At 40.5% G+C, this 13,522-nt stretch overlaps 1 protein-coding gene across 2 annotated transcripts, besides 4 other annotated features; it reads left to right on the top strand.

The window, feature by feature from the left end:
* Positions 3,016 to 3,115: a silencer, noted in NCBI's record as "silent region_1701". NCBI's record gives its function as "represses an Ori minimal core promoter by ATAC-STARR-seq in GM12878 lymphoblastoid cells {active_cell/tissue: GM12878}" and the evidence as "EXISTENCE:reporter gene assay evidence [ECO:0000049][PMID:35858748]".
* UBE2T (ubiquitin conjugating enzyme E2 T) lies at positions 3,243 to 13,522 on the top strand. 2 transcript variants are annotated; one of them, NM_014176.4, is made up of 7 exons: positions 3,243 to 3,284; positions 9,361 to 9,533; positions 10,121 to 10,190; positions 11,624 to 11,729; positions 11,844 to 11,942; positions 12,086 to 12,169; positions 13,219 to 13,522. In NM_014176.4, exons 2-7 carry the CDS (start codon positions 9,425 to 9,427, stop codon positions 13,342 to 13,344), a joined length of 594 nt encoding a protein of 197 aa, NP_054895.1. In that variant the 5' UTR covers positions 3,243 to 3,284; positions 9,361 to 9,424; the 3' UTR covers positions 13,345 to 13,522. The 2 variants fall into 2 exon arrangements, with proteins under 2 accessions (NP_054895.1, NP_001297255.1); NM_001310326.2 differs by having other exon boundaries at positions 9,361 to 9,537.
* Positions 3,548 to 4,173: an enhancer, noted in NCBI's record as "H3K27ac-H3K4me1 hESC enhancer chr1:202310134-202310759 (GRCh37/hg19 assembly coordinates)". NCBI's record gives its function as "activates a minimal SCP1, AML or CMV promoter by ChIP-STARR-seq in primed H9 embryonic stem cells {active_cell/tissue: H9 hESC(primed)}" and the evidence as "EXISTENCE:reporter gene assay evidence [ECO:0000049][PMID:30033119]".
* Positions 7,590 to 8,113: an enhancer, noted in NCBI's record as "H3K4me1 hESC enhancer chr1:202306194-202306717 (GRCh37/hg19 assembly coordinates)". NCBI's record gives its function as "activates a minimal SCP1, AML or CMV promoter by ChIP-STARR-seq in primed H9 embryonic stem cells {active_cell/tissue: H9 hESC(primed)}" and the evidence as "EXISTENCE:reporter gene assay evidence [ECO:0000049][PMID:30033119]".
* Positions 8,114 to 8,638: an enhancer, noted in NCBI's record as "H3K4me1 hESC enhancer chr1:202305669-202306193 (GRCh37/hg19 assembly coordinates)". NCBI's record gives its function as "activates a minimal SCP1, AML or CMV promoter by ChIP-STARR-seq in primed H9 embryonic stem cells {active_cell/tissue: H9 hESC(primed)}" and the evidence as "EXISTENCE:reporter gene assay evidence [ECO:0000049][PMID:30033119]".

The raw sequence follows: 13,522 nt of genomic DNA, 5'->3' as shown, positions 1-13,522 counted from the left end.
AGTTCCAGGAAGCCAGAAGTACTTCCTTACCATACCTATTTTATTTGCTTCTTTTCTTTTTTTTCCTGTGGAAGTAAGAGTGTAATACCTTCTTTGGAGATTTTACAGAAAAGTGTAAGTAGTTAAATTCCTTGGATCATTTAAGTGCATATCTACTTGGAGATAGAGGAATATACCTTCTGGCTATATGATTATTGAAAGTAGTAATAATTATTATAATCTAATTAATTTTACAGGCTCAGCCAAAAAAAATGCCATGAAAACATTCATCTACCTCTAATGACTTGAAAAGTTTTTTCAAATTGAAATCCTATTTTTTCTAAAACATGTTTCCCAACTAGGGCTTTCTGAGAATAACTTACACAATCAGCTCATTAAACAAGTATGGTAATTTAAATTTCCTAAATAAGTACTCCATTCCTTTATTATTTATTTATTATTTATTTTTGAGACAGGATCTCACTTTAGATTTGCAGTGGTGCAATCACAGCTCACTGCAGCCTTAACCTCCTGGGCTCAAGTGATCCTCTTACCTCAGCCTCCCAAGTAGCTGGGACTACAGGCATGCACCACCATGCCTGGGTAATTTTTGTATTTTTTGGTAGAGATGAGGTTTTGCCATGTTACCCAGGCTGGTCTCAAAGTCCTGGGCTCAAGCGATCTGCCCACCTAGGCCTCCCCAGATGTTGGGATTACAGGCATGACCCACTGCACCTGGCTATAAGTATGCTATTCTAAAGAAAATATAAGCCTGGCCAACATGGTGAAACCCCGTCTCTACTATAAATACAAAAATTAGCCGGGCATGGTGGTGGGCGCCGGAAGTCCCAGCTACTAGGCAGGCTGAGGCAGGAGAAGCGCTTGAACCCAGGAGGCGGAGGTTGCAGTGAGCGACAGAGTGACACCCTGTCTCAAAAAAATAAAAAATAAAAAATAAAAATAAATAAGATATATTTTCATATACTAGTGAGTAAATCCTGACAAATACTACTGTATAAAAATAAAATACAATTTTTATACTTTTATAAGTACTAAGTGAGCCTGCTATGATGTGTTGTAAAGTGAAGAAACCTTCATAAAATAATAATTTTCATAGCTATAATTTAAAAATAAATTATAACATTAGAATGCTCCATTTTTAAAAACAATGACACCTGTAAAAAGTTTATGAAAATCTTTTAGCCTGGCCTCTATTCCCACCAGTTAACATACCCCCTCTGGTGGACAAATGGAAACTGTACATTTAGTGTATGGGGTTCTTTTTTTTCTTTCTCTTTGTTTTCTTCCTCCCTCTCTACCTCCTTTTCTTCCTTCCTCTTTTGTCTTCTATCCTTTTTTCTTTCCTCTCTGTTGCCAAAATTATAGGGATTTACTTATTTTATCAAACCATCTCTCTTTTCCACCGGACTCAATACAGTTCTTGCTTTTTTAAGAGACATTTTTAAGACCTATTTCTCAGAGAACCACCCAAGGAAGTAATCAATTTCAGTTCTGAAGACAGAACTGTAATTGAGATACAATTACAATTGGGGCAGGAAGAAAATAAAGACAGGTATTGAAAGGACTAAAACAAAACATCAGTAGTAAAATAAGCAGGAACTCAATTATGACAGAAAACACTTCACTAAATGCTGAGTAAATGCTAACAATAAATGCAAACCCCCAACAGCAAACTGGAATTAGACTGGACAAGAATGGGATTCCTTATGTTTGTTTCACAACTTTATAATAATTAATAAACTACTGTAGTTGGTTTATTCCTACAACTAAGGTGAGGAACCCCAGGGGAGCATCACAGAGTCCTAGTGAACATGTGGTGCCCTTGAGAGAAAACACCCCACACAATGGCTATGGGGAACCATTTGCCACTTAACACCAGTTTTGACTAGATGTAGACATCACTGCAGTGGCCAAAATTATACTGATTTACAAGTTTAGAAAGAGACTGATTATTACTCTGTTACCAATAATAGTAATAAATAGTATAATAGTAATAAATAATAGTAATAATAATAAATTACTATTAGTATTACCATCGTTGTTCCAAAGCTACACAGTGAGCTGAGAGCAGTCAGATGAGGGTTGGCTTTTTGCTTGTTTTGTTTTTCCACCCACAGCATTTCCAAAGGCTAGTCAAGTTCCAGCCATGTGCTTTAGATTAAGTCAGGTCTGTGCCATCTTTCAGCGCTCATGAAGCATTGGCCTCTGGCAGAGGCAGCTCTGAGAAGTTAAGGTTGGCTTAACTATAAACAGGTTCTTCCTTGTTCAGAAAGTACCATGCATCTAGCGTTGGAAGATGGTTTAAAAGTCATCTATTCCAGCTGGGCACAGTGGCTCACGCCTGTAATCCCAGCACTTTGGGAGGCTGAGAAGGATGGATCACCTGAGGTCAGGAGTTCAAGACCAGCCTGGCCAACACGGTGAAACCCCGTCTCTACTAAAAATACAAAAATTAGCTGGGCGTGGTGGCGCTTGCCTGTAATCCCAGCTATTCGGGAGGCTGAGGCAGGAGAACTGCTTGAACCCGGGAGGCAGAGGTTGCAGTGAGCCGAGATTGCACCATTGCACTCCAGCCTGGGTGACAGAGCGAGACTCCGTCTCAAAAAAAAAAAAAAAAAAAAAAAGTCATCTATTCCAAACTGCCACCCAGTGCAAGGATCCTTTCTGCACTATCCCTAACAAGTGATGACCTAACTTCCACTTGAACATTTCCAGTGATGAAGGAATTCACTACCCTACCTACTTTGTTCTTCAGAGTTCTAATTGATAGAATGCTTTATTGAACTAAGTTCTGCATCTCTTAGACTTTCATCCGTTGTCCTTAAATGTGTCCTCTGAATAAACGTGTCCTCTGAAGTAGTAAAATCTCCCATGTGAAAAAAAATAAAGGAAGACAGCTATCACGTATTCTCTTTTCCAGATTAAATATTTCTGGTTTCTTTCATTGTTCTTGCTAAGAAACGATTTCCAGCTCCTTCCTTGGTCTGGCAGAGCCGACTTTGTAACCGAATTTGGACTGCCGGATGACGTCTCAGGGTTCAGCCGCAGGGTGTAGGAAGCTGAATGGCTGCGCCCAGCGCGCGCTCTCATTTGAATGCGTGAGCGTTCAGAGCACTGGCCAATAGAGAGGAGCGGTGGCTGCGCTTCTTTCCCGGTGGATTACTGTGGGCCAATCACAATCTTCCCCAGACAGGGGGCGGAGCCACGCCAACAGTCAGAGGTCGCGCAGGCGCTGGTACCCCGTTGGTCCGCGCGTTGCTGCGTTGTGAGGGGTGTCAGCTCAGGTAAGCAAGGAGAGTATTCCGGTTCCCCATCTGAAAGAAGGTACACTGGAGAAGGTCACTGAGTCTTGGGGGGAAGGAGTCCTGTTTCCGCCTAATATGGGAGTTTTCGTCTCCTCTGAAAGGAGAGCCTTAGAAAAGCCACTGTTGAGCGGAGGGTCTCACCGTATCTTTGCATGAAATCGTGGTCAGAGCTCCCCCGAGCCGTCCTCCTGCCACAGCAGGGAGAAATTTGCCACTAGAAGGGACATAACAGCCCAGTACTTGCTGCGGGTTGTGCACTGGCTGTTCTTTTTTTTTTTTTTTTTTTTTTTTTTTTTGAGACGGAGTCTCGCTCTGTCGCCCAGGCTGGAGTGCAGTGGCGGGATCTCGGCTCACTGCAAGCTCCGCCTCCCGGGTTCACGCCATTCTCCTGCCTCAGCCTCCCAAGTAGCTGGGACTACAGGCGCCCGCCACTACGCCCGGCTAATTTTTTGTATTTTCAGTAGAGACGGGGTTTCACCGTTTTAGCCGGGATGGTCTCGATCTCCTGACCTCGTGATCCGCCCGCCTCGGCCTCCCAAAGTGCTGGGATTACAGGCGTGAGCCACCGCGCCCGGCCTGTTCTTTTGTCTTCTTCAACATCTGGTCCAAACCCACGTTTCGTTCATTAATTATCCAAATTTACTGCAGACTTGATACAAAAAAAGACTAGGGACCTGCTGTCAAGGAATTCCTCCTAAGGAGAAGAAACTGTCAGGTGAATTAGAACACGATGCAAATAGATGTAGACGCACAGAGGGTGACGTTGGAAAGGTGTGAGTGGTGGGGAGGCATTACTGGAGAAGGAGTTGTGATTTAATATGTAACCTTTAATATCTAAAGGTGTGAAAGAATAAAACTTTTATGGGCAGCAGGAATAGTGCAGTGTGGCTGAAGCATGAGTTTGTGGAGAGTAGATACTGGATATAAGGCGGGATATAAGGGTTAGATTGTAAAGAACCTTTATACCCTGAAAAATAGGCAGTTATTCATGGCATTTGAGCCAAAGAATGGCATATGCCAATTTTGGTTAACATAGTGAGGCTGGAGTCTGGTTGCTTCCTTGGGAGAAATTGTCTTGCTTGTTCTAATCCTTTTACCATGGCTTTCCACTGTTCTCATTTTATATAAAGGTATACTTTATACTTGTGATACTTTTACTGTACAGTCAACCCTCTGTATCCATGAGGGATGGTTCCAGGACATCCTGCAGATCCCAAATCCACCAAAGGTCAAGTCCCAGATATAAAATGGTGTAGTATTTGCATATAACCTATGCATGTCCTCCCATATACTTTATATTTAAGAGATGGGGATATCCTTTGTTGCACAGGCTGGTTCTTTTTTTCTTTTTTTTTTTTTTAAGAAAGGGTCTCGCTCTGCCACCCAGGCTGGAGTGCAGTGGCGCGATCTTGGCTCACTGCAACCTCCGCCTTCCTGGTTGAAGCCATTCTCCTGCCTCAGCCTTCCAAGTAGCTGGGATTACAGGCGTGCACCACCACACTTTGCTAATTTTTGTATTTTTAATAGAGATGGGGTTTCCTCATGTTGGCCAGGCTGGTCTCAAACTCCTGACCTCAAATGACCCACCCACCTTGGCCTACCAAAGTGCTGGGATTACAGGTGTGAGCCACCATGCCTGGCCAGTTTTGTTTTGTTTTGTTTTTGAGACAGAGTCTTGCTCTGTCGCCCAGGCTGGAGTACAGTGGCGCGATCTCAGCCCACTGTAACCTCCACCTTCTGAGTTCAAGCCTTTCTCCTGCCTCAGCCTCCTGAGTAGCTGGGATTACAGGCCTCCACCCCCGCAGCTGGCTAATTTTTATATTTTTAGTAGAGAGGGGATTTCCCCATGTTGGCCAGGCTGGTCTGGAACTCCCGATCTCAAGTGATCCACCTGCCTCAGCCTCCCAAAGTGCTGGGATTACAGGCGTGAGCCACTGTGCCAGGCCTCACAAGCTGGTCTTGAACCTCTGCATGTCCTCCCATATACTTTATTTATTTTAGAGATGGGGTTCTCCTTTGTTGCACAGGCTGGTCTTGAACCCCTGGCCTCAAGTGATCCTTCTGCCTTGATCTCCCAAAGTGCTGCAATTACAGGTGTGAGCCACCGTGCCCAGCCCCACCCCCATATACTTTGAATTATTTCTTGATTACTTATAATACCTAATAAAATGCTAAGTAAATTGTTGTTACACTGTATTGTTTAGGGAATAATGACAAGAAAAAATGTATAGTACGTGTTTGGACGAAGATGTTTTTTTTTTTTTTTTTTTTTTTGAGACAGAGTCCTAATCTATCGCCCAGGCTGGGGTGCAGTGGCGTGATCTTGAAGTACAAAACACTTCCAGCAAAAAATCTTTATTTTTAAGAAAAAAGTATTTTTTCTCATTTTCTATTTTTGTCATAAATTTTTATTCTTTCCAGTGGAACCAAAACTTGAACTTCCTTTTGGTTGATACATGCCCAGCAAGACTGATCAAAGAAAAGATGGCACAGATAAACAGTGTTAGAAATGAAAATGGAAACATAACCATAGATAACTACAGATTAAAAAGATAAAACATTATACAAATAAATTGAAAATTGCATGTAATAGATAAATTTGTGGAAAAATTTAACTTGCCAAAATTGATGCAAGAATAAATAACTTGAATAAGATTCAAGTAAATTGGATTTGTAGGTTAAAATTTTCTCAAAATGAAAACACCAGGATCAGATGGAGTTATTCCAGACAACCTAGTAACAAATTATCTCTTGGACTAATCCACAATATGTTAAAAAAAAAAAAAAAAAAAAAAAGGAGGCAATACTCCCTAACTCATTTTAGGAGGCTAGCATAACCTTGATAGCTAATAAAGACAAAATTAGAAAGGACAGTTATAGGCCAGTCTTACTGATTAGCATAGTGTTAAAAGCTTTCCCTTTAAGGTTAGAAATCTGACAAGAATGCCAACTATCAGCTTTTCTTTCTTTCTTTTTTCTTTTTTTTTTTTGGCTGTTGTTTAGACAGGGTCTCACTCTGCCTCCCAGGCTGGAGTGCAGTGGCACAATCATGGCTCACTACAGCCTCAGTCTCCCCGGGCTCAGGTCATCCTCCCACCTTAGCCTCCTGAGTAGCTGGGATTACAGGCTCATGCCAGCATGCTTGGCCCAGCTATCAGCTTTTTCATTTAACATTGTACTAGAAGTTACTGTCAGAATAGAAGGCAGGAAAAGAATTAGAAGGGAAGAAATAAACTTGATTATATGTGGATGACATGATTGGCAGTGTGGAATTACCATTCCCAGACTGCTCCCCACCCCAAATAGATTCATCATTAGCATTACTAAGGCTTTGGTTAAAAATCAGTTAGATTGGCTGGGCGAGGTGGCTCATGCCTGTAATCCCAGCACTTTGAGAGGCTGAGATGGGTGGATTACCTGAGGTCCGTGGTTCGAGACCAGCCTCACTAACATGGAGAAACCCTGTCTTTACTAAAAAAATACAATATTACCTGGGCCTAATGGTGCATGCCTGTAACGCCAGCTACTCAGGAGGCTGAGACAGGAGAATCGCTTGAACCCAGGAGGTGGAGATTGCGGTGAGCCAAGAGCACACCATTGCACTCCAGCCTGGGCAACAAGAGCAAAACTCCATCTCAAAAAAATAAAAAAAAATCAATTAGATTTACATGTATCAGTAAGAAATGGGTAGAAAATAGTGTTTTTGAAAAGATAGCAAAAATATAAATACTTAGAAATCAGTCTAACAAAAATTAGATAAAGCTTTATAGAGAAAATTATAAAACCTTTGGAAAGCATCAAAAAAAAGACTGAAACAGCGTGTTCATGGATCTTAGGATTCAATATCATAAAGATATCAGTTATCTCCAAATTGATCTATAGCATCAATAAAATTACAATCCAAACCACAGAACCCTGTTATGATTTGGATTATAATTTCAGATATACATATTTATGTATATATTTATGGACTTATGAACTGATTCTCAAATTTATATGGAAGAGCAAAGAGTCAAGAATAATCAAGTCATTCCTGAAGAAAAAGACCAGGTGGATAAGCTATAGTAAAACATCACATTGTACACCTTAAATATATACAATTTGTATTTGCCAGTTATACCTCAGTAAAGCTGGGAAAAAATTTAAATAATAAAAAATGAATAAGCTATAGTAATTCAAACAGTGGAGTATTGTCTCAGAAATAATCCACTTGACCAGTGGAACAAATTCAAGAGTCCCAAAACAAATCCACACATATAGAAATTTAATTTATAGTAATATCAGCAGGGAAAGGATGGACTGATTCAGTAAATGATGTTAGAACAATTGACTATTCATATGGGGAAAAACTTTAAATTGGACCCCCACCTCACTCACTATACATAAAATTCAATTCCTAGTGGATTCAATATTTAAATTTGAATAGCAAAATTATAAAATATTTGAAGGCTATGTAGGAATATCTCTACATTTGGGGGTAAGGAAAAATTTAATACACAAAGTATAAATGTAAAGAAAGAGATTTTAAGATTGATTATGTTAAGAGTATGTGTTTATTGAAAGACACCATGTACAACATGGAAAGATAAGCACAAACTGGGGGATATTTGTAACACATTAAAGGATTGGTGTTGGCTGGGCGCGGTGGCTCACGCCTGTAATCCTAGCACTTTGGGAGGCTGAGGTGGGTGGATCACGAGGTCAGGAGTTCAAGACCAGCCTGGCCAAGATGGTGAAACCCCATCTCTACTAAAAATACAAAAAGTAGCCGGGCGTGGTGGCGGGCGTCTGTAATGCCAGCTGCTCGGGAGGCTGAGGCAGAGAATTGCTTGAACCCGGAAGGCTGAGGTTGCAGTGAGCCGAGATCGCACCACTGCACTCCAGCCTGGGCAACAGACCGAGACTCCGTCTAAAAAACAAAAGGGATTAGTGTCCTTTGCTTGGTTAGTAAAGAGAGAACTAGAGTTGAGAAGAGTGTTGGGTGAATATGTGTGTAGGTGTTGGTTTTAGGTGAGAGAGACTTTGAGCATATTTGAACATTGAGGGTAAGAAAGATGGAATAATTGATGGAATGGTATCCCTGAAGATTGGGAGAAGGTGGAATCCATAGCACATGGAGAGAAACTCGGACATTTAACATTTGTTTGTACCTGAGAATGTTGACTATCTCTACCATTCTTGCTCTCACAAAGCATATGTAGACTTCCTCACAACAGCAAATATTTGTCAAATCCCTTACTATGACAGGCATGCTAAGGCTACAATAGTAAGCAAAATCAGACCCAGGCCTGGCCTCATGAGTTTATAATTTATCAGTGGAAACACCCATTATTTAAAACCTTTAGTGTTTTTATTTTTTGTAGAACTTTTTGCATTTTTAGTTCTTTATTTTAAAAATATATTTGCTTGTATAGATAAACGTTCACAAGAAGGGAGTGGAAAAACTCAGATTCCCTTGTCAGAATAGAGATTAATAAGAGGAATCTTGGACTGGCGTGGTGGCACACACCTGTACTTCCAGCTACATAGGCGGCTGAGATGGGAGGATCACTTAAGCCCAGCAGGTGGAGATTGCAGTGAGCTGAGATTGTGCCACTGCACTCCAGCCTGGGTGACAGAGCAAGACCCTGCCTCTAAAAAAAAAAAAAAAAAAAAAAAAAAAAGCTGGGTGCATTGGCTCACGCCTGTAATCCCAGCACTTTGGGAGGCCAAGGCAGGCGGATCACCTGAGGTCAGGCATTTGAGACCAGCCTGGCCAACATGGCGAAACCCTGTCTCTACTAAAAATACTAAAATGAGCTGGGCATGGTGGTGCACGCCTGTAATCCCAGCTACTCTGGAGGCTGAGGCATGAGAATTGCTCAAACCCAGAAGGTGGAAATTGCAGTGAGCTGAGATGGTGTCACTGCCCTCCAGTCTGGGTGACAGAGTGAAACTGTGTCTCAAAACAAAAAAGAGGACTCTGTCCCCCACCCTCACTACATTGAAGCTGTTTGCTGAAAACTTCATAGTCATTATTGCTGATGATTTTATGGTCACCTCTTTTCTCCTCCAGTGCATCCCAGGCAGCTCTTAGTGTGGAGCAGTGAACTGTGTGTGGTTCCTTCTACTTGGGGATCATGCAGAGAGCTTCACGTCTGAAGAGAGAGCTGCACATGTTAGCCACAGAGCCACCCCCAGGCATCACATGTTGGCAAGATAAAGACCAAATGGATGACCTGCGAGCTCGTAGGTATCAAATCATGTATATGATGAAAGTCATGACCCTATTGAAGATTGTGCTGAAATAAAACATTTTGTGTATTCTTCTAAAGTAAGGAGCAGTTATAAGGTCAGAGTGCCCTACCATCTTTCTACCCAAATTTGTTTACATTTATAAAAGGTTTGCTTGACATTTCTTGCTTCTTTGACTTTTTATTATACCTTATGCTGATTTATAGCCAAGATTTAAAGCAGTGAAGCAGTGTTTAGATCAAAGATAACCATCTCAAATATCTGTGAGGCCAGATGGGAAACATACATGATTAGAATACTGCGGTCCAAACAAAACAAATCTATAGGTTGTATTTGGTCTTGTGGCCAGCATTTTGCAACTTCTGCTTTAGATTTTCTATATGTCCTTTGTTTGACACCATTAACTTTTTGAGTACATTAGCATTGTGGTGTGTTGCATGAGGACTTGTTAAAGTCCTGGCAGAGAATTATTGTCCTAGGCCTAGTTTCTCTATTAGGACCATAGACCTCATTAGCTCCATATGGTAGTAATTCAAATGATCTGATTCCCTTTTAACTTTTTCTTTCTTTTTTCTTTTAAGAAATATTAGGTGGAGCCAACACACCTTATGAGAAAGGTGTTTTTAAGCTAGAAGTTATCATTCCTGAGAGGTTAGTATGAATCAGCTTCTCAACCTACATGGTGAAGTGCATTTATAAATTGGGAGACAGAGCAATGTAGTAGATAGAGCATAAAGGACTAGGTTTTAATCCTGGCCTTATCATGACTTAAGGTGACCTCGACCAAGTTATTTTCTCTCTCTGGAGTTCAGTTTCCTTCTCCAGAACAATGGGCGAGATCACATCAAAGACCCCCTCACTTTCTAAATTGTGATAAAATATACATAACATAAAGTTGACCATTTTTAAGTGTACAGTTCAGTGGTATTAAATACATTCACATTGTTATGCAACCATCACCAACATTTATCTCCAGAACTTTTCATCCTCCTACACTGAAACTTCATAGCCATTAAACTCTAACTCCCCATTTCTCCCCGCTCTCAGCCCCTGGCAACCACTATTGTGCTTTCTTAACATTAAGCTCCCCCCGGCTTTTTCTTTTAACATTTATTTTAGGTTCCGGGGTACATGTGCAAGTTTGTTATATAGGTAAACTCATGATATCACGGGGATTTGTTGTACAGATTATTTTGTCACCCAGGTACTAAGCCTAGTATCCAGTAGTTTTGCCCTTCTCTGTCCTCCCACCCTCCACCCTCAGGTAGGCCCCAGTGTCTGTCGTTCCCCTCTTTGTGTCCATATGTTCTCATCATTTAGCTCCCACTTATAAATGAGAGCATGTGGTATTTGGCTTTCTGTTCCTGCAAAGACCATGATCTCGTTCTTTTTATGGTTAAGGCCCCTTTTAATTCAAGTCTCCTTTAAGGCTCTCATCAGGTGAGTTACAGTTGTAGTTTTGTACAGAACGGGGAAGGGAAGAAATGACTATCTGACAGTTGAAACATAGACATCTAATCACTAGGTCAGATCCTGGCCAAACTTGTTAAAGTCTTGGGAGAACAGCTTAATAATCATGTGGTGCATCAGTTCTAAAAATAGACTGGGAACTTTGCAAGGTCGGTGTCTCACTAAAGATACATAATAACCAAATGCAACGTATGAATTGTAATTGGGTCCTGTTTTGAAAAACCCAGCAATAAAAAAAAAAAACTGGGGAGAACAACTGAAATCTGAACAGTAAATGATATTAGGGAATTAGTTCTTAAATTTTTCAAAGGGGTAATAGTATTGCATTTATATGGGAGAATGTTCTTATTCTTAGAAGATATGCTGGAGTATTTAGAGGTAAAGTGGCTTGAATCCAGGTGGTAGATATATGGATGTTTTCAATACTGTTATTTCAAACTGATTTATTTTAAATTTTCATAGTGAAAATTTAGGAAGAGAGAAAGTTTGCCTCCCAAAGGCAGTCTCCCTGACATTTCTATAATACCAAAATTATTGTGACCAAGAAACTATTTAAATGTATTTAGAAGCAAAATTATGTAATGAAAATTATCTGTTGTCTTATTCTTTCATAGGTACCCATTTGAACCTCCTCAGATCCGATTTCTCACTCCAATTTATCATCCAAACATTGATTCTGCTGGAAGGATTTGTCTGGATGTTCTCAAATTGCCACCAAAAGTGAGTTGTGGGTAAATGGTTGACTCTACAGCATTCTGTTTTCTTCATCTATTAAACTTGAATTAGAGGATCACATTCTAATATAAAAGCAACTGTTCATCTGTTTGTATATAGGGTGCTTGGAGACCATCCCTCAACATCGCAACTGTGTTGACCTCTATTCAGCTGCTCATGTCAGAACCCAACCCTGATGACCCGCTCATGGCTGACATAGTAAATATCCCCATTTTCCTCTGCAACACATATCCTACCTTGTCTATACCGCTAACTCTCCCTGTGTGAGGATAGCTGCAGCAGCTCTAACCACTGCAAATCATGTTTTTCTCCATTAACTCTTTTCTTTGATTTCATCTCAGTCCTCAGAATTTAAATATAATAAGCCAGCCTTCCTCAAGAATGCCAGACAGTGGACAGAGAAGCATGCAAGACAGAAACAAAAGGTATAATGTTTGCTACTATTGTCAGTTAATTAAGTATATATAGTATAAAGTATATATGTATAAATAATGTTTTTTTTTTTTTTTTTTTTTTTTTTTTTTTTTGAGACGGAGTCTCGCTCTGTCGCCCAGGCTGGAGTGCAGTGGCGGGATCTCGGCTCACTGCAAGCTCCGCCTCCCGGGTTCACGCCATTCTCCTGCCTCAGCCTCCCAAGTAGCTGGGACTACAGGCGCCCGCCACTACGCCCGGCTAATTTTTTGTATTTTTAGTAGAGACGGGGTTTCACCGTTTTAGCCGGGATGGTCTCGATCTCCTGACCTCGTGATCCGCCCGCCTCGGCCTCCCAAAGTGCTGGGATTACAGGCGTGAGCCACCGCGCCCGGCCTAAATAATGTTTTTTAGATTTGCCAAATTTGTACTGAACTCTAGAATGACTAGTTAATCTTTTTCTCCTATTGCAACCTTCTAAATAATCATTCAGCAAAATAGCCTAATAGCTCAACTAACAGTAGATGTTTCATAACAGTTGTCACCTATTGGGCAACACTAGACGGCAGGCAGCATCTGGTTAATTTTTTTTATATTGCAGGTAGCAGGGATAGTGGAGTGGTGTCTCAGATTCTTTTTTTCTAAGTTGTCCTTTTAACACTGAGAAGAATCTATATTTGCAGGGACTAGTTGCAGAGATGGGGGAAACTTTTCTTAGGGGACCATTCATGGAAGAAAGTTAAAGGAAAAACTTCAGGTTGATAGAATTTCCTCATTTAGCAAAATTCAAATTACAGGAACATGGAAAGTAGCACATCATAGTTCTTGCTGAGTTATGCCATCTTTCAGATTGAGTTAAATAGCAGTGGTGTTACTTGTAAAAAGAAATAAAAATTAAAACAAAAAAATTGAGGAAGATGTCTTTGAGAGAATATCGTATGCATAATACTGTATTTAAATCTTGCAACAAAGAAGTACATGGAAATAATATTACAGAGCTTCATTTTTCTCCATCCTGGCATTTGTGTGAACCTTACTGTGTTTCACCCTGTCTCCTCTTTAGGCTGATGAGGAAGAGATGCTTGATAATCTACCAGAGGCTGGTGACTCCAGAGTACACAACTCAACACAGAAAAGGAAGGCCAGTCAGCTAGTAGGCATAGAAAAGAAATTTCATCCTGATGTTTAGGGGACTTGTCCTGGTTCATCTTAGTTAATGTGTTCTTTGCCAAGGTGATCTAAGTTGCCTACCTTGAATTTTTTTTTAAATATATTTGATGACATAATTTTTGTGTAGTTTATTTATCTTGTACATATGTATTTTGAAATCTTTTAAACCTGAAAAATAAATAGTCATTTAATGTTGA

The sequence above is a fragment of the Homo sapiens genome, chromosome 1 (assembly GCF_000001405.40).
Source record: "Homo sapiens chromosome 1, GRCh38.p14 Primary Assembly".
Classification (NCBI taxonomy): Eukaryota; Metazoa; Chordata; class Mammalia; order Primates; family Hominidae; genus Homo; species Homo sapiens.
Note: the sequence above shows the minus strand (reverse complement) of the source record. Positions and strands in the feature narration are given on the sequence as shown.